The following is an 18,822-nucleotide window of genomic DNA, read 5'->3' on the forward strand; positions in this document are numbered from 1 at the left end:
GGGCAGAGACCAAGTCCTCCAGTCTTCGTGTCTTCCCACAGCTCGTCATGAAAGTGGGCTCTGGTGGGTGTTTATTGACTTGAATTGACCCCAAGTGGACGTTGCTGAGAACTGTCATGCGATTTGTCCCTACAGCAACCTAACATCAAACAGAAGTTTGTGGCCCTCCTGAAGCGGTTTAAAGTTTCAGATGAGGTATGGCCTCTTACTCCCAAGGTTAATGGTGAGTAGAATTCCCCGGGTTTCACCCAGCATCCCTGGAGTACACTCTGTATTGCCACTGAGAGTCAGGATTCTAGGATTAATATTCCTGCTCCCCGTGGCATACCTGGTAGAGCCCTAAGGGAGAGGGTGGCTAAGAAGGACTTAAGCAAGCAGAGGAGAGAGAGGCTATGCACACAACGCAGGGCAGCACAGCTACGCCCGACCCTTGGTGATGCGCAAGCCTCTGGCATGCGATACAGGGACAGACCCAGCGGATGCTGCTGCGGTTGTCACTTAATTTCCCCTCTTATCCCACGGGAACATCAGTGAGCAGCAGCTTGTGAGGTGGAAATGTCCTTGTTGGTCAGCCCTGGAATAACCAGGAATGGGGCTGCTGAGAGAGAAGCAGTCTTTTCCCTGGGCTCCGGGAGGGGCCCGTTTCCACAGGCCTCTCAGTGGGCTAACAGAGGGATAAAGATGAAAATTGTTGAGAGCGATTGCTTCGCCTTCCTGTGAGCTGTAAGGAGGGTAGGAAGAACCCACATGGGCGATGGGCCTCGGGATTCCTCAGCTGTCCCTCCTGGCACAGCTTCACAGTGTGGAGCGGTGGCAGGAACTGGGGGGAAGGTGGCCTCACCATGTCCCCGCCCTCAGGCTGGATCATGGAAATGACGTGAAGGTTACTCCAGCCAGTGTGAAGCTCTGGCATGTCCCTTAAGCAGGACTATAAGGGCAGCCCAGGAGAAAGGAGCTGCTCATCAACCAAAATTGTTAATAGGGATGACCCTAAATTCAGAGACTCCTTTTTCCCTGCAGGTGGGCTTTGGGCTGGAGCATGTGTCCCGCGAGCAGATCCGGGAAGTGGAAGAGGACTTGGATGAATTGTATGACAGTCTGGAGATGTACAACCCCAGCGACAGTGGCCCTGAGATGGAGGAGACAGAAAGCATCCTCAGCACGCCAAAGCCCAAGCTCAAGTGAGCCCCCCTCTCTGTAGCTGGCCTCCAGACTCTCCTTCCTGGCCATAGCAGTCTCCTGACCCCTCCCTCGCTGTCCCCTCTATTACCAGAGAATCTTGGTCCTTCATCCTTTCTGAACCTCTGGCTGTCTTGGAGAAGGTCACTGTTTTGCCTCTCACTGACAGAAGTCCTATAGGACTCTCAGGAAGTACCCCCTCTCCTGACCCGCCCCTCCTCTTCACCCTGCACTTCCCTGCTCACCGGGCGTTCTGGACACCTGTAGCTTGTTGACCCACCCTGAATGCCAGCTCCATTCAACTCTCCCAGCATGCTGTTCTGAGCCCTGGCAGCACTGACCCTGGCTGTGCTCTTCACCACAGGCCTTTCTTTGAGGGGATGTCGCAGTCCAGCTCCCAGACGGAGATTGGCAGCCTCAACAGCAAAGGCAGCCTCGGAAAAGACACCACCAGCCCTGTGAGCGCAACCGCGACTGCGGGGCGGGGTGGGACCGTGGCATGTCAGGGCTCGACGCTCTGGCCCTCTGCATCTCTGATCAGGGCTCATGTTGTGACCTTAGAAAAGTGGCCCCATTGGCTGGGCATGGTGGATCACAACTGTAATCCTGGCACTTTGGGAGGTGGAGTCGGGCAGATCATGAGGTCAAGAGATTGAGAGCATTCTGGCCAACATGGTGACACCCCATCTCTACTAAAAATACAAAAATTACCTGGGCGTGATGGTGTGCACCTGTAGTCCCAGCTACTCAGGAGGATGAGGCAGGAGAATCACTTGAAGCCGGGAGGCGGAGGTTGCAGTGAGCCAAGATTGAGCCACTGCACTCCAGCCTGGCGACAGAGCGAGATTCCCTCAAAAAAAAAAAAAAAAGAAAAGAAAAAAGAAAATGGCCTCATCTTGTTTCAGCCTCAGTTTTCCTCCCCTCAGTCTGGCTGGGAGCTTAGCTCTTTGGGGTCATTGCTGTGTCAGGCTGGGTTGTTCCTTTTGGTCTGTTTCTGCCATGGCCCAGCGCCTTCCCTCTCAGAATACATACAATCTCCCCCTCTGCTGGGCGTGGTGACTCATGTCTATAATCCCAGCTCTTTGGGAGGCCAGGGCGGGTGGATCACTTGAGCCTAGGAGTTCGAAACCAGCCTGAGCAACATGGTGAAAGCCCATCTCTACGAAAAATGCAAAAGTTAGCCAGGCATGGTGGTGCACGTCTGTAGACCCAGCTACTTGGGAGGCTGAGGCAGGAGGATCCCTTGAGCCCAGGAGGCAGAAGCTGCAGTGAGCTGTGATCGCACCACTGCTCTCCAGCCTAGGTGACAGAACAAGACCTTATCTCAACAAACAAAAACCTCTCCCTTCGTGTCTGTTCTGTGGTAGCTGAGAGTGTGGCATGGAGTGGGCGTTTGGCCAGTAGTGAGTGGCCCTGCACCAGACTGGGGAAGGAGCAGGTATGGAGAGGAGGGGAGCCACTGAGACGTGCTCAGGAGGCCCTAGTAGGCTTTATTGGGCCAAGAATCCATAGAGGGGAGCAGTGCCCCGAGAAAATTTATAATTTAGTCAAGAGGTTTCCATTTTTTCTGGTGAGCAAGGGGAAAAGGGGGCATGTACTGTAGCAGCCGGAGCCACGACCTGGGCCTTGCTCCGCCCCTCCTAGAAAGGCCCTGCTCCCTCAGCAGATCACAGGCAGGGGTGGGTGTGAGCCTGAAGTGACCTCAGGCCCTAGGAAGCTGCTCTTCCTTCGTTTACAATGGAAGGCAAGTGAGTGTTGTCGCGATGTGAGTGCCCAGCTTAGGATTTGCCCTCCAAAGCCCAGTGTCTTTTCTGTAGATCAAAGAAACAAATCCTTTAAGTCCTCCTGTTCACCTGCTTTACTGGCAGATGAAGCCTACTCATGGTTCACCAGGGGGAATACCAAACTCGCCCTGCAGATCGGTAGTAATTGTGCGGAGATGATAGGAAACAGGAGAGGCCTCTACCGCTGAAAAGCACGGGTCTGAAAGGGCAGGTGCCTGTCCTGGAAACCACCTTCTCTTGGGGCATCCCCTGGCTGCCCTTCTGCCTGTTGCCACCAGGTGGGGCTCTCTCCCAGCTCACCGTTCTTCCTGCTTAGGACAGCGCCCCACGTGACGTTAGTGAGGCAATGCATGGGAAACTGCAGCCCAAACAGACTCCTCCCTGGGAGAAACCCCAGCCCTGCCCCTGCAGACCCTGCACCCTAGACGCCGTTCCAGGCCGGGTTCATGGGGATCCAAGAACTGAGGAGACCTCGATTTACAAAAAAAAAAAAAAAAAAAAAAAACTCTTTCTAAATTTATTTTTTATTTTTATTGGAGTCGGAGTTTTGCTCTTATCGCCCAGGCAGGAGTGCAATGGAGCGATCTCGGCTCACTGCAACTTTCACCTCCCGGGTGCCAGCGATTCTCCTGCCTCAGCCTCCCGAGTAGCTGGGACTGCAGGCACGTGCCACCCACACCCGGCTAATTTTTGTATTTTTAGTAGAGATGGGGTTTCTCCATGTTGGCCAGGCTGGTCTCAAACTCCTGACCTCAGGTGATCCGCCCGCCTCAGCTTCCCAAAGTGCTGGGATTAGAGGCTTGAGCCGCTGTGCCCGGCCTATTTTTTTTTTTTTGAGATAGGGTCTCGCTGTACTCCCCAGGCTGGAGTGCAGTGTGTACCCAGCCACCTCACTTTCTTTGGTATTAGTGTTTAGGATGTGGCTTGGAGATGCATTTCCTCACATGGAACTGCTGAATGGCCCTGCTGAATTGACAGCATCCACATGGGCAAACCCTACTGGGCAAACCCTACCCCTGGCCATGAGAGCTAAATTCCCTCTTAACTATATGGGATGACTCTAGAAAGATACCTGGGAGCTGGCTGAGGGAGGACTCTTTCTTAGTGTTCTAGGAATGTAGAGCAAGTGCCCTAATATAACAAAATGTAACTAAATCACTAACTGAGACAGTGCCCCAAAAGCAGTAAGCAGAACACCTAACACTGTGGATGTTCAATAAATGTTAGTTACCTGACTTATAAAACTTACAGAAAAAATTACTTAGACACTCTGAGCCTCGGTGCCTCATCTGTAGGGTTGTGGTGTCGGTATAGGAGCCCATTTGGCTCAAAAGCCAGTTGAGGGCGGACACGGTGGCTCAAACCTGTAATCCCAGCACTTTGGGAGGCCGAGGTGGGTGGACCACTTGAGGTCAGGAGTTCGAGACCAGCCTGGCCAACATGGCAAAACCCTGTTTCTACTAAAAATACAAAATTAGCCAGGCATGGTGATGCACACCTGTAATCCCAGCTACTCGCGTGGCTGAGGCAGAGAATTGCTTGAACCTGGGAAGCAGAGGTTGCATTGAGCCAAGATCCCGCCACTGCACTCCAGCCTGGGTAACAGAGCAAGACTCCATCTCAAAAAAAAAAAAAAAAAAAAAGCCAGGTGAGTGTCAGCCTTTATAATATGATGGCCTAAGGGCCTCTGTCAGGGCAAAAACACATTTGGGACAGGGTAGAGCTTCTGAGTTTGAGTCTTGACTCCACCACTCCACTGACTGTGTGATCTTGGGCATGTTACCACGCCTTTGCTTCCTCATCTACAAGGTACGTGTTAAAGCTCGTGCCTCCCAAGGTAGTGAGGAGATGGAACAGGATCATGCACATCAGACTGCTGCGTGGGGTGTGCCTGATTGACTTACTGCACACAGAGCACTGCTCATTGCTCACCGACTACTATTGCTTTTATTATTATAATTCCTTAGTGCCATTTCAGTTGTGGACTCCTAAAATTGATAGAATCTAGATGTCTTTTTAGTGAGTCCTTCAAATTCTGGTTCCCTTGGCCACGTTTCAGACTCACTTTGCTGGTTCTGTGCTGATATTTCTATTTTGAAGAGCCCCATATGTCTGGATGTGGGTGTGAAACTTTGGAATCCTTTGGTATGAAAGGCGCTTTGGGAACAGCAGAACCAGACTGCGCTCTTAAATGGAGAACTTCTGAATGGATTAGGAAAAACCACGAGATTGTGCACCTGTAGGCAGGTGTGCACGCACCACCTCAACTTGTGTCCTCTCTTCCCTGGTTTCCTAGCACTGTTATTTATTTATTTTTCTTAATCTTGCTTTTTGTTCCCCACATTTTAGAGGATTCAGTTTATCGCTAGAACCAGAAAGAATTTCTCCTGATACGAATTATTCCAGTTGTTGAATTTTCCCAAGGCTTGAGCACACAATGGCAACATAATTTGGTTCTCCAAGCTGATAACAATGAGCCCTGACAGTGCGTCAGGGCAGCCACAGATGCAGACTTCCAGCCAGGACTGCCTGCTGCTAAGTCGCTATTTCCACAGCACTATAAATAATGGCATTAGAGCCTAGTCCTTCATGAAATGATAGCCTACACATTACCCACTCTTGCCCCCTTCTCTCTGACACGGGCCTACACTCTTACCCTTCAGCAGCTGACATTGTCCATGAGCACAGTGGTGCAGACTTCTGGGACCTCTAGTGATACCTCATCCATATCCCATGCCAAACACTTGGTCAGACACAGCTGGAGTCCTGCTGGTGTTCCAACATCTTTTGGGGGAAAAAGCCCTTTAGTGTTTATAGAAGCAGGAACAGAAATGTGATGAAATTGGGAATTTGTCCCCAGGAGGATTGTCTGGGACATCTGGAAGAGCCAGTAAATAGCCAGCAGGTGTCCTCTAAGCCCAATCCAAGTTAAAGATATTATCAGGAGATGGATATGCTAATTACCTTGATTTAATCATTTCACAGTGTATCCATACATCAAAACATGTTGTATACTGTAAATATATACAATTTTTATTTGTCAATTATAGCTTAATAAAGCTGGGAGGAATAAAGATCTTAATAAATGTTGCAGCTTTGACATGGAAGCAATGCTGTAGCTGTCATAGGGCTTAACAACAAGGCGTGCTACTTCAAAACCTCCCAGCAGACCTGTGTTATCACCCAGTTCATTCTCTTTAAAACGCGTTTAATTAATTTGTCATATTGAGATCGAAAATGGAGTGAAATTATCTCTAGTCTCAGGTCTAACCAGAGCTTTTCCATGATTCTAGATTCTATTAATGTTGGCCGAGGCTGGGCGTGGTGGCTCACACCTGTAATCCCAGCACTTTGGGAGGCTGAGGCAGGTGGATCACTTGAGGTCAGGAGTTCAAGACCAGCCTGGTCAATCAACATGGTAAAAGCTGTCTCTACCAAAAATACAAAAATTAGGCAGGCATGGTGGCAGACGCTTGTAATCCTAGCTAATCAGGAAGCTGAGGCAGGAAAATCACTTGAACCCGGGAGGCAGAGGTTGCAGTGAGCCAAGATTGCACCACTACACCCCAGCCTGGGCAATAGAGTGAGATTCAGTCTCAAAAAAACAACAGCAACAACAACATTGGCTGATCATATAGAGAAGGTGTAAATGAGCTAGCTCTGCAATCTGGAAGCAACCTGTTCTGTGGCTGTGAGCCATTACACAAGCCAAACCATCTGAAGATCTGGGGTCCCAGAGTCTGGCTCAGGCATGCTGAGTTAGTCCTGCAAATGGCCTGGAGCAGGGGTTCTCAACTGGGGATGATTTTGCCTCCCAGACATATGGCAATGATTGGAGACATTTTTGTTTGTCACAAATGAGGGAGTGGAGAGTTGCCACTACCAGCACCTAGTGAGTAGAGGCCAGGGATGCTGCCAGACATCCCACAGTACACAGGACAGGCCCCCACAATAAGAATGAGCCAGCCCCAAATGTCAATCGTGCCAAGGTGGAGGAACCCTGGTTTAGAGTGTGACATAGGGAGCCTGCTGTGGTGATCCTTGTTCCATAGTTTACTAGGTGACCCTGAACTTACTAGCCTGATGCTTCTCAGTATTATATGATTGACTCAGAGAAAGGACTTTGAGTCATTGGGAGGAAGTGGGATATCATTTATATTTTTCTGCCTCCTATGGTTCCCTACAAGAAACAAAAAGATTCACTAAAGCCAGTACCTTCCCTGCATCTAAGACCTACAACCCACACGTCACTGCTGGTGACTTTGAGTTGCTGTCTGCACAGCAAGAAGCAATATTAACAAATACGAAAATCTGGTTATGTGTCTATATTTGCAAAGGAAATTTTTAATATTTATGAGAAATGCTAATAAGAGTTGGGGACAAATGGAGAATTAATTTACACCTAAATGGCTTAACATTGGGTGTCTTTCTGCTTAGTATATCCTGTTAGAGGGTTTTCTGGATGTTCCCACCAAGCAAAAAGCATTTGGCTACCATGGATGTCTTTAGTCTCAAAATCAAAGACCTGAACCTAGCATACTCCTTTCTCTGGCAAGCAAAGGAGGCCTCCCCTCTATGTCCTTCCTGGGCAAGTGTATTCACTGGATCCAGGGTCAAAGACTTCATGGATGCAATAGCAAAGCCATCTAAATTTTGAGCTTCTCTTGCCTAGTGACACCTCGTGGAGTCAGAATTTCTGGGTTCTGAATCTCCGTGTTATTGACTTGATGACAAAGATAACTGATCCCTCCAAAACCTGGTTTTCACAGAAATGTACCCGCCTCCCCGGCCCACATAAGAAAAAAGCCCTGAAGATTTTATGAGGTTTGAGATTAAATGAAAGTATTTTAAGCTTCATAGGGACCTAGTAAAACAAATTAAAGTGGTAGTTATTTGGATCAGTGATAACTAATTCTTATAATTTTTGCAGATGGAATTGGCTGCTCTAGAAAAAATTAAATCTACTTGGATTAAAAACCAAGATGACAGCTTGACTGAAACAGACACTCTGGTATGTATGGGTCAGTTTCCTGTTTCAGCTGTTTCAAATAGTGTTTGTCCCTTTAGAAATAACGGCAGAAGGACCCTCAGGACCACCATAGAAATTTCACCTAAATCTGCAGGCTTATGAATGTCCTGCACTCTCTTTCTCCTGAAATCCTTACCCGTGGAATGCAACCTACTACCTGGTGTAGACACCAGGTTGCTCTCAAACTTAGTATACCAGAAATGTCCTCATTCTGCCCTTTAATAAGAGCTGACCAAATGCTAGCTGGGGAAACTTCTCACCATCTGTCACCAGCGTTCTCCCTGGAAAATCATCCCTTCCTCATTGGATGTTGCTGTTTCCGTGGCCAGGCAACCCACAACATTCAGTCTCTGACTGGTACTGGTCCGTGTTCTAAGAGGTGCTGGAGCTGCCCAGGAGTGCAGGCCTAAGCCCCAGTGAAGTGGAATTGAGTTGGTTGGGATGCCCAGTTTTTTTACAGGTCGAATTGCACAAACATTTACTGTGCCCCTGCTTGTGCTGGGCACTGAAGATGCAAACATGAGTGAGCCACAGTTTGCATCCCCTGTACCTCCGGCCCAGGGAGGTACAGGGGATGCAAACTGGAGAAGCGACATCTGAGCTGGGCTTTGCAGGTTACGTCAAAGTTCATCCCGTGGGACCAGAGGCAGGACCCTTGTGGGGAAGGAGCAGAGAACTTTACAGAATGCCATCTAGGGATGAGCCTCACGGTGGGACCTGCTGGGAGTTGACTAGAATCTGTGAAAGAATTATTTTAGCCTTATGTTTTCTATAGTAAATAAGACTACATTAAAGATCTTATGTATTTAGGCTTGATTCAAGATTAATTTGAAACTCACTACCCTAACTTACATTTTCTAGTTCACCAGTAATCTGAATAATCCTACTTCCACCGTGGCCCCACTGTAGTCCGTACTGCACGTGGCAAGTACAGTGTGGCCTTTTCAAAATTAAATTCCAATTGTGTCACTTCCTGATTAAAACTCTTCAGTGATTGGCCAAATCTCAGCAATTTAATGTTGAGTGAGTAAAAAGAAGCCGAATGCCAAAAAATGCACGCCATAGGATTCCAGTTCTGTGAAACTCACAAACAGGCAAAACTAATCCATGAGGGTGACGTCAGCATACCTGTTACCCAGGGGAGAGGGAGGGGCATCGGGAGGCCTCAGGAATGCTGGAACGTTCTGTCTTGATCTGGTTAATGGTCACCTGGGGGCATATTTGCATAAAAATTCAAGTTGACTATTCTAGATTTGTGCTTCTTACTTTATAGAAGTTATGCCCTCAGTAAACATTTTGAAAACATAAAGACCAGGCAGAGGCAGGGAAGTAGGCAGGTGTGCGGCCTGTATTGGTAGCAGAGTCCTCCCTGAGGGCTGGATCATTAGGGAGGTAGTGGGCCCAGGGAGGAGGCACGGGAGGTTAATTTAGAAAGGTGGCCCAGGCTGGGTCATGGTGGGCCTCAGAGGCCCCACTAAAGAATCAGACTTGGCCAGGTGTGGTGGCTCACACCTGTAATCCCAGTACTTTTGGGAGGCTGAGGCAGGCACATTGTTTGAGCCTGGGGATTCAAGACCAGCCCGGGCAACATGGAAAAACCCGTCTCTACAAAAAAAAAAAAAAAAAAAAAATAGTAATACAAAAAAATTAGCCAGGCATGCTGACATGCACCTGTACTTGGAAGGCTGAGGTAAGATAACCACTTGAGCCCAGGAGTTCAAGGCTGCAGTGAGCTGAGACCATGCCACTGCACTCCAGGCTGTGCAAGAGAGCAAGACCCTGTCTAAAAAAAATTTAAAAGGATGTCAGGAATTAGGCTGGGGGCGGTGGTTCATGCCTGTAATCCCAGCACTTTGGGAGGCCGAGGCGGGCGGATCACGAGGTCAGGAGATCGAGACCATCCTGGCTAACACGTCTCTACTAAAAATAAGCCGGGCGTGGTGGTGGGCGCCTGTAGTCCCAGCAACTCGGGAGGCTGAGGCAGGAGAATGGCATGAACCCAGGAGGCAGAGCTTGCAGTGAGCCGAGATCGCGCCACTGCACTCCAGCTTGGGCGACAGAGCAAGACTCCGTCTCAAAAATAAATAAATAAATAAAATAAGTAAATAAAATAAATAAAAAAGGATGTCAGGAATTCGAGACCTGCCTGACCAACATGGAGAAACCCCGTCTCTACTAAAAAAGAAATACAAAATTAGCCAGGCATGATGGCACATGCTTGTAATCCCAGCTAGTCGGGAGGCTGAAGCAGGAGAATTGCTTGAACTTGGGAGGCGGAGGTTGCGGTGAGCCAAGGTTGCGCCAAGATTGTGCCACTGCGCTCCAACCTAGGCAATAAGAGCGAAAGTCCATCCCAAAAAAAAAAAAAGTGATCTGAGGAAAGGCAAAGGCCTGGGCTCAGAAGGTGGGATAGAGAGGGTGGATGTGAGAGTGTGGCCAGAGCGGGACACACAGCAGTGGCTTGGGGATGAGGAAGGAAGGGAGAATCTCAACGGAGATGCAGGTGGCTTTGGCCAAGGTAAGGAATGGGGCTAAAAAAAAAAAAAAAAAAGAAAAAAAAAAAAGGAATGGGGCTATGGCCCTCCCTGCTCTCCTAGACCAGATAAGGTCCGGTCAGGGCACCAGGGAGATGCATCTAGGGGTCCCCTCTTCACTCCTGGAGACAGCAGATCATCAGTCCACTCTTCTTGTGCCAGCAGGTCGTTTGTAACTGGATATTTACTGGATTGCAGCATATGGTGCCCACACGGGGTGTACTCAGTCACCCGTGAACAGTGGCGATTTTCCTTCGGCTGAGGCAGGAGCTTTAGGACCACTTGCTTTCAGGAAAAGAAAATGAGTAACTCTCTCTTCAGGATGGTGATGGGGCCTGGCCAGTCCAAGGAGGCTCCTGGGTGGTCACTGAGTGGGAGGTCATCTTCACTGTTTCCTCTCCTCCATGGTAGGAAATCACTGACCAGGACATGTTTGGAGATGCCAGCACGAGTCTGGTTGTGCCGGAGAAAGTCAAAACTCCCATGAAGTCCAGTAAAACGGATCTCCAGGGCTCTGCCTCCCCCAGGTACTGCAGATGGAAAGGAAGCAGGGGGTACAGCCTGCAGCTGTGCTTAGCATGGGCTTCAGGGCTGAGGGAAAGCGGGGCTGGCAGCAGCTTTGGGGTTGGAGGGGCTATTTCACCAGCCTTTTTCCACCTCCCTGGCAGCAAAGTGGAGGGGGTGCACACACCCCGGCAGAAGAGGAGCACGCCCCTGAAGGAGCGGCAGCTCTCCAAGCCCCTAAGTGAGAGGACCAACAGTTCCGACAGCGAGCGCTCCCCAGATCTGGGCCACAGCACGCAGGTACTTCTGGGTGCCCCCAAAACACCAGGACCCTCTGAGATTCCCTGAACTTCAGGCTCTGTTTTGTTGGCTTCCTTGGACAGTTAGTTGGAGAGAAGAGGAATACTTGGAAATGCTCTGAACAAAAACTCTTGAAGAAAGACTAAATTAGAGAGGTCTCCTATATTCCTTGCTTACTGCCAGTGTGGAACTGGCTTCCACGCTGACCTCTAGGGCGCAGGCAGGGGAGCCAAAAACGCTGTGTGGTCGTGGCCTGCCACGGCTGCGAGTGTCGATTCCACACCACCGGTGTCTCTGCCTCCATCAGACGTCAGTCTGGAGATTGTGCCGTGAATCCACTGTTGCAGAGGACAGCAGCCTCTGGATCTCATGGGACATCCTGACCCGAGCTCCCAACCTGAGTATTGCTGTGGGCGGTCATCGTGCTTTCAAGCCGGGAAGCCAACAATATTAAACTGTTTCAATGGAAGGACCCGAGAGTGGGCTGGAGAAGAAGTCAGAAGAACTGGGCCTCAGGAATCGTGTTCTCCTTTTGAAGGCCTGTGGTGTCAGAGATCTGGGACAGGGATTTTCCCGGCACACCTTACACAGTTCCAGTTCTGCTAGGGTTAAACAGCCAGCCTGTTCATTCCCCTGATAACTTACCAAGTGCATTGTCAGTGTGGCCTCCTGAGCTCCATGCTATTACATGGCTGAAAATGAACTTGAGACTAGAATAGCCCAGTGCCTGGGGTGAGGTATTGTCCTTCTTGTTAATCACTGTTCCTGAAATACCTTTTGTTCCCTCAGACAGCAGGTACCCACACAGCACTCATTGCCACTCTCATTATTTCTCTCCCCACTGCCCTCGTTTCTGTTTCTCTGAGCACCTGCTGGCCGCCCTCTGCCTCTCCCTTCCTGGTTCTTACGCTGCTGCCCCTCCTGCCACCCACACCGTTTCCCATCCGCGAGGCTTGCTGCACCTCCATCCTCTCCACCTGCCCTGGCAGGACAACCGCTGTGGCTTTGTTCCTCATCTCCATGTGTCCTCTAAGGACTCGCTTTGCTGCTTCTTTCTCCTCCTTTCCATCGTGGTCTGGCCAGTGGGAGACTGAGTCTCCCTCCCAAAGTCCTGATATCTGTTCTCTCTAACACCCCTGCTCCAGAGACTCCCCATGCACCAGTCCAGCAGCCCTGTCCTCAGGCTCCCCAGGGACTCCCTAACAAGAGACACTTTCTTTTGTTCCTGCAGATTCCAAGAAAGGTGGTGTATGACCAGCTCAATCAGATCCTGGTGTCAGATGCAGCCCTCCCAGAAAATGTCATTCTGGTGAACACCACTGACTGGCAGGGCCAGGTAAGTGCTGAAACTGCGAGGCCATGTGGGGTCCTGGAGGGCAGGCAATGCCCGGTTGCATTGTCAGTGTGGCCTCCATACTATTGCGTGGGGAGGTGGGGAACTCACCCCTCCATCAGCCCCCACCTGCTCTGAACTGAGCCCAGAACTCTGAGTTCTAGTCCAACTTCTGTCATTATCCAACTTGTGGGATCTTAAATCACTAAGTTTGCTCTACCTCAGCTTCCTCATACGTTAAAAAACAAACAAACAAAAAGCAACAGTAATTCCTCCAGGGCGCCACATGCGTCAGGCAGCATAGTGGAACGGAGGCCTGTAGAGAAGCACCCGGCTGTAACCTCCAGGGCTGCCCCATGAAGGCAGGTCAGCAAGGCAGAGCATCCCTGCCTGCTCCCTCACCGCTGTCCACCTGGCTTAGACACTGGTGCCGGGGACACCTGGAGTGTCCTAGCATGTGAAACCCCCTAAGGCTTCCCATCTCTCACACTCTGCGTGTCTCGTGGGTCGGCCCCACCCCCTCCTTACTGGCAGTCCGGAGACCTGGCTGCCTTTGCCCAGCTTCGGTCTGAACTGCAGAGGACAGGGGCCCTGCAGCTCGGTCTGGGTCTCACTTGCCTCTTGGCCCTTGTGAAGGAGTGATGTGTTCTCACCTGTGTCCCTGCTCTCCTCCCTCCCTATCCCAGTATGTGGCTGAGCTGCTCCAGGACCAGCGGAAGCCTGTGGTGTGCACCTGCTCCACCGTGGAGGTCCAGGCCGTGCTGTCCGCCCTGCTCACCCGGATCCAGCGCTAGTAAGGGCTCTGGCCTCCCTTCTCCTGCCCTTAGAGATTCCCTCTGACCTCATCTTCCAACCCTGACTTCTAAGCAATGATAGACCCTCCTGGCCTCATCAGACCAAGAATTTGCAGAGGGGCGTATGTTTAGGGGGGTGGCGGCAGCAGGCTGTAGGGCTTGAGGCCCCGGCAGACCCCAGAGGATCGGGGGTGGAAATATCAATTCCTGTGCTCCCTGCCTCCCTGCCTGGACCCCCGCCATGCCTTGACTTGCTTTATCCTCTTAAACCCATGATGAAGGAGAGGACACACTGGTTTTAAAAAGATCTTTTATTCCTTCCATCTGCAACATGCTGCTAGACACTCAGGAGTCAGTGCTTCCCCTACCCTCAGGGCCTTCTTAAAAGGCCCAAGTCCCTTGCCCTTGTGAAAGAGAACTATGGATTCCAGGCCTGGGGGCACACACCCTGCGGGCATCCCAGGCACACTGCCGAGTCCTACGTTAGCCTCAGCTGTTCCGTCTGCTTCATGGGCAATGCCCTCTGACCCTGGATTTTTCTCTTGGTTGTGAAAGCACTGTGGCTTATTCCCTGTATGATCCTCTCTGTTTTATTTTGTGGATTGGTTTGCTTTTCCCCTGTGGGTTGTTGAGATCACAGAAAGTCAGCTCTGGGCCTCCCCCGGGCAGGATCCTGGCACCCCTGAGCACTGCTATGACGCTCCCCTTCCTCCCCAGCTGCAACTGCAACTCTTCCATGCCGAGGCCAGTGAAGGTGGCTGCTGTGGGAGGCCAGAGCTACCTGAGCTCCATCCTCAGGTTCTTTGTCAAGTCCCTGGCCAACAAGACCTCCGACTGGCTTGGCTACATGCGCTTCCTCATCATCCCCCTCGGTAAAGACGGGAGGCACCAGGAGGGCGTCGGGCATGAGGGTTCCATAGACAGATGCCTCATCTGGAACAGGACGGTGGGGTTGGGGCCTAGGAAGGGACAGTCAAGGAGACCAAGGCCGTGGCCAGGGACAGCTGCTCCCACACTGTCTCATCTCCTGACGAATTCACCACCTCTGGTTTTCCATCTACCAGGTTCTCACCCTGTGGCCAAATACTTGGGGTCAGTCGACAGTAAATACAGTAGTTCCTTCCTGGATTCTGGTTGGAGAGATCTGTTCAGTCGCTCGGAGCCACCAGTGTCAGGTAATGGCCCCGTGTAAGGAGCTTACTCCCACCCCCGGGGTCCACAGGTGCCAGCCTGGCTGCAGAAGGAGGCTGAGGTCATGCTGCTTTCCTCCCTGCAGCTCTCACCTTCCCGGTCACTCTGTCCATTCATTTTTCCATAAGTGTTTATTAAGCGGAGGCTCACTGTGCACAGCCCCTCCACTCTGCCAGTTTTCATCCTCTGCTATTTGCTCTGCTCCTGTTCATCTGGAAGGAACAAGGGCCATGCTGGCATAGTGGCCAGGGCGTCTCTAGTTGTAGAGATGAAATACAAGGAGCAGAGAATAGCAGTCAAGTGACAAAGCAGTCACTTGATAAATGAATAGCACCCCACCAACCAGGTGCTTTCTTGAATATCAAATAAAGGTGGCAGAGGTCAAGGGCACGGTGGATCACTTGAACCCAGGAGTTCAAGACCAGCCTGGGCAACATAGCAAGACCCTGTCTCTACAAAAATACAAAAATTAGCTGGGTATGTTGGTGTGCACCTGTAGTCCCAGCTACTCGGGAGGCTGAGGTGGGAGAATTGCTTGAGACCAGAAGGTTGAGGCTGCAGTGTGATCATGCCACTGCACTCCAGCTGGGGCAGCAGAGTGAAACTCCGTCTCAAAAGTAAAATAAAATAAAAATAAAAAAATAAAGGTGGCAGGGATCAGAAAGAGGTTGAGCTCTTCCAGGCTGAGAGGTAGTGAGGGCCTGGCGCAACTGAGAAGGAGGTGATGGCAAAAGTCTGTGGGGTGAGGCTCCTCCAGGCCACCGGATGGGTATGTGCAAGGACAGGCAGGAGCAAGTGGACATGAGAAGAAGGGTGTGCGTGGCCCAAGAAAGAGCAGGGCTTTGAGGAACTGCAAAGATTGGAAGGGAGAGGACCATCCTTGGGCTCATGATTCCTTCAAACCAGAAGGACCGTAGAGCCCCATCCTTCACTCAACTCCTAGAGTCTGACGGGTCTCAGGAAGGGATCCCTCTCCGAGAGGGTCTGCAGGTTTGCCAGCTGAAGTCAGTAGGCAGTTAGTGATCTCTTGGCTTTTCTGCAGAGCAACTGGACGTGGCAGGGCGGGTGATGCAGTACGTCAACGGGGCAGCCACGACACACCAGCTTCCCGTGGCCGAAGCCATGCTGACTTGCCGGCATAAGTTGTAAGTTTGACTTTGAGGGGTTTCTTAAAAATAGGTTGGGTGGGTTAGAGGAATCTTGAGTCTTCCTTGCTTTCTCACATTTTCCTTCTCCACATGCTATATTCCTTCATAGGAACCCAAAAGGATATGAGTGGTTTTTACCACCACCTCCCCAGCACTCCTTCCTTGCCCAAGGCCTCCCACCCATAGGAGCCTGAGTTCATCAGTTTCCTTTCCTGCCCTTCAGTATAAAGCAGCCCATCCTCATAGCTGGAACTCAGACGTGGGAAGCAGGGAGCGTAGCTTGCATGATCAGGTCATTTGCCCTCATTTTGTGAGCTCCACATGCACAGCAAGTCCCAGACCTTCCCCATGCCACCCCAGGATGTGATGGGCAGAGGCAGCCCAGCATCCTGGACTCTGCTGCAGCCACAGTGAGATAGGAAAGGCCAATTCCCCAGCACTCCTCCCTGTCTCTCCTACTAACTATGAAGCTCTCCTGTGTCTCCCAACAGCCCTGATGAAGACTCCTATCAGAAGTTTATTCCCTTCATTGGCGTGAGTACTGACTCCCTCTGCTTGGCACCCCACCCGTTCTCCTGGTCTTCCTGTTCCCCCTTACACAGGAAAACAAAAGATTCATCTAGAACAGTGGTTCTCCAGACACTGGAGATTTTGCCTCCAGGGACTACCTGGCAGTGTCTGGAGACGTGTTTGGTTGTTATACGGGGGGTACCCAGTGGGTGGAGGCCAGGGATGCAGCTGGTCATCCTCCAGTGCACAGGAGGTCCCGCAGCAGAGAATGGCTTGGCCCCAAGTGTCAGTAGTGCAGAGGTGGAGAAACCCTGGGCCGGACATGGATTGGGCTGTCCCTTTTAGTGTCCGCCTTTTCCAAATCACGAACTGTTCCTGGGTCCATCACTGATGTCTCCTGTTTATTACACCAGGCCCTGACCTCGCTGCCTTCACCCGGGGAGTGATGTCCAGACGTGGCTCACGGGAAAGGGAGCTGCTTTGGTAGTAGTGGAAGGCAGCATTCAGAAAAGTCTGAAAACAGATACTTCTGTCTTCATGGTTGGATAGGCCACTGAGAGGAAGGCTTTCTTCTTTCCTTTTCTATTTAACCAAGGAGAAATCTCTATACTAGTAAACTTTGAAAGTCAAGGAAGAACCCCGTGGATGTCTCATGGCAGGTGCATTGCCGGCTGTCTGTTCATCAGCAGCTGGGCCACAGGCTCAGCCTGACCTAGGGAGGGGTCCGGGGGAGCTGTGCAGTCCTGCCAGAGGCCAGAGCATGGCACCGGAGCAGGACTGAAAACTCCGATTTCCACTTAAAAGAGCTTTACATTTCCCTTCGAAACCAGCTTCTATCTTTTTTTATTATTTTTTTTTTTTATGAGATGGAGTCTGACTCTGTTGCCCATGCTGGAGTGCAATGGCACAATCTCAGCTCACTGCAACCTCTGCCTCCTGGGTTCAAGTGATCCTCCTGCCTCAGCCTCCTGAGTAGCTGGGACCATAGGTACATGCCACCACGCCTGGCTAATTTTTTTTTGAGACAGAGTCTCACTCTGTTGCCAGGCGGGAGTGCAGTGGCGCGATCTCGACTCACTGCAACCTCCGCCTCCCAGGTTCAAGTGATTCTCCTGCCTCAGCCTCCCGAGTAGCTGGGATTACAGGCACGTGCCACCACACCCAGCTAATTTTTGTATTTTTAGTAGAGACGGGGTTTCACCATGTTGGCCAGGATGGTCTCGATCTCTTGACCTCGTGATCCGGCTGCCTTGGCCTCCCAAAGTGCTGGGATTACAGGCTTGAGCCCCTGTGCACGGCATGCCCGGCTAATTTTTGTATTTTTCTGCTGAGATGGCATTTCGCCATGGTGCCCAGGCTGGTCTCAAACTCTTGGACTCAGGAGATCCACCTGCCTCAGCCTCCCAAAGTGCTGGGATTACAGGCGTGAGCCACCATGCCCCACCAGCTTGTATCTTTTTTTGTAATTTCCTTGAGGCTCCCTCGTAGCTTCTAGACAGGGAGGGGCTCATGTGGATGAGGGGGCCTAGCTCCCTGCTCTCCCTGCTTTCTGCGCATCCAAGATGTGGGTGTCTTGAGTGATCTCAGGAGATACCTGAGCTGGGGAAATCCAGCAGCCCTTTCTCGTGCCTTGCAGAGCCTCCTGTCCTGCAGTCTAGCCAGTCCCCGGTTAGCCCCTGGGCTGCTCCCATAGCCACATTACAGGCCCCAAGACCATGGCCCATAGCTGTGGCTGGTGGTTTGACACATCTTCGTGGAGCTGTGAGTTGCTGCTCACTCAGGCCTCGCAACCGAGAGAGACAGAGAGATAACAAATTTAAAACAAATTAAAAACCAAAAGAGCTAGCAACCTCACCAAATGCCAGGCAAACAAGGAGAGAAGGGGAGTTGTATCCAGGAAGCCCCAGAGTGGCAATTTGTTCCTCTCTGGGAATCAAAAGAAGGGCGCATAGAGAATCGGGACAGACTTCAGCAAACACAGCCTTGCTGTCGCGGCAGCCTCCAGGCAACCACCTGCAGGCCTGTGCGGTAGATTTCGCCCCATCAGGGTCCAGCCCTCTGGACTCCCAGCCCAGCTGCCTCTTTGCCTAGGCCTGGGCCCAGGTGATAGGGCCCAGGACTTTACCTGTCACTTCAGACCACAGCCTGGATGCTCACCTAGTCTGTGGCTGTGTTCTTTTCTAGCCACTGGAGGGCCCAGGCTGTCCTTTCCAGAATTCTCTATGGAGAATTGAAAATTCCTAAAGAACCCCCCCACCCCCATTCAGTACACTTCCAGATTCCAGGAAGACCAGAGAGGAGAAGGCTGGTGTCCACACCTTAGCACGTCCACTTGGCTTTAGACTCTCCCACCTGGCAGAGACAGAGCCATCTTCCTAGGCCCTCTGCCCACAGGACCTTAGAGAAACAACATCAGGACATCACAGTGATTCCTGCCTTCAGCCCTTTATCCCCAGAGAAGAGCTGCAAAGTCTCGCATGCCCCATCTCATTGTTGCAACTAGGTTTTGTTGTTTT

The 18,822-nt window shown here is 51.2% G+C and overlaps 1 protein-coding gene across 3 annotated transcripts in view, besides 5 other annotated features; it reads left to right on the plus strand.

Moving 5' to 3' along the window:
- Positions 1–18,822, plus strand: part of PACS1 (phosphofurin acidic cluster sorting protein 1) — a 174,473-nt gene that overhangs the window by 149,339 nt on the left and 6,312 nt on the right. For all 3 annotated transcript variants that reach the window (NM_018026.4, XM_011545164.3, XM_011545162.2), the window contains exons 8-19: positions 136–195; positions 1,021–1,181; positions 1,544–1,637; positions 7,894–7,974; positions 10,938–11,053; positions 11,195–11,330; positions 12,562–12,666; positions 13,350–13,456; positions 14,175–14,329; positions 14,522–14,632; positions 15,691–15,793; positions 16,288–16,330. In NM_018026.4, the coding sequence (NP_060496.2) occupies positions 136–195; positions 1,021–1,181; positions 1,544–1,637; positions 7,894–7,974; positions 10,938–11,053; positions 11,195–11,330; positions 12,562–12,666; positions 13,350–13,456; positions 14,175–14,329; positions 14,522–14,632; positions 15,691–15,793; positions 16,288–16,330 (1,272 nt within the window). The remainder of the gene's footprint in view (positions 1–135; positions 196–1,020; positions 1,182–1,543; positions 1,638–7,893; positions 7,975–10,937; positions 11,054–11,194; positions 11,331–12,561; positions 12,667–13,349; positions 13,457–14,174; positions 14,330–14,521; positions 14,633–15,690; positions 15,794–16,287; positions 16,331–18,822) is intronic.
- Positions 2,960–3,059: an enhancer, noted in NCBI's record as "active region_5036". NCBI's record gives its function as "activates an Ori minimal core promoter by ATAC-STARR-seq in GM12878 lymphoblastoid cells {active_cell/tissue: GM12878}" and the evidence as "EXISTENCE:reporter gene assay evidence [ECO:0000049][PMID:35858748]".
- Positions 3,120–3,359: an enhancer, noted in NCBI's record as "active region_5037". NCBI's record gives its function as "activates an Ori minimal core promoter by ATAC-STARR-seq in GM12878 lymphoblastoid cells {active_cell/tissue: GM12878}" and the evidence as "EXISTENCE:reporter gene assay evidence [ECO:0000049][PMID:35858748]".
- Positions 3,120–3,665: a biological region, named in NCBI's record as "H3K4me1 hESC enhancer GRCh37_chr11:65990246-65990746".
- Positions 3,165–3,665: an enhancer, noted in NCBI's record as "H3K4me1 hESC enhancer chr11:65990246-65990746 (GRCh37/hg19 assembly coordinates)". NCBI's record gives its function as "activates a minimal SCP1, AML or CMV promoter by ChIP-STARR-seq in naive H9 embryonic stem cells {active_cell/tissue: H9 hESC(naive)}" and the evidence as "EXISTENCE:reporter gene assay evidence [ECO:0000049][PMID:30033119]".
- Positions 3,666–4,166: an enhancer, noted in NCBI's record as "H3K4me1 hESC enhancer chr11:65990747-65991247 (GRCh37/hg19 assembly coordinates)". NCBI's record gives its function as "activates a minimal SCP1, AML or CMV promoter by ChIP-STARR-seq in naive H9 embryonic stem cells {active_cell/tissue: H9 hESC(naive)}" and the evidence as "EXISTENCE:reporter gene assay evidence [ECO:0000049][PMID:30033119]".

The sequence above is a fragment of the Homo sapiens genome, chromosome 11, assembly GCF_000001405.40.
Source record: "Homo sapiens chromosome 11, GRCh38.p14 Primary Assembly".
NCBI lineage: Eukaryota > Metazoa > Chordata > Mammalia > Primates > Hominidae > Homo > Homo sapiens.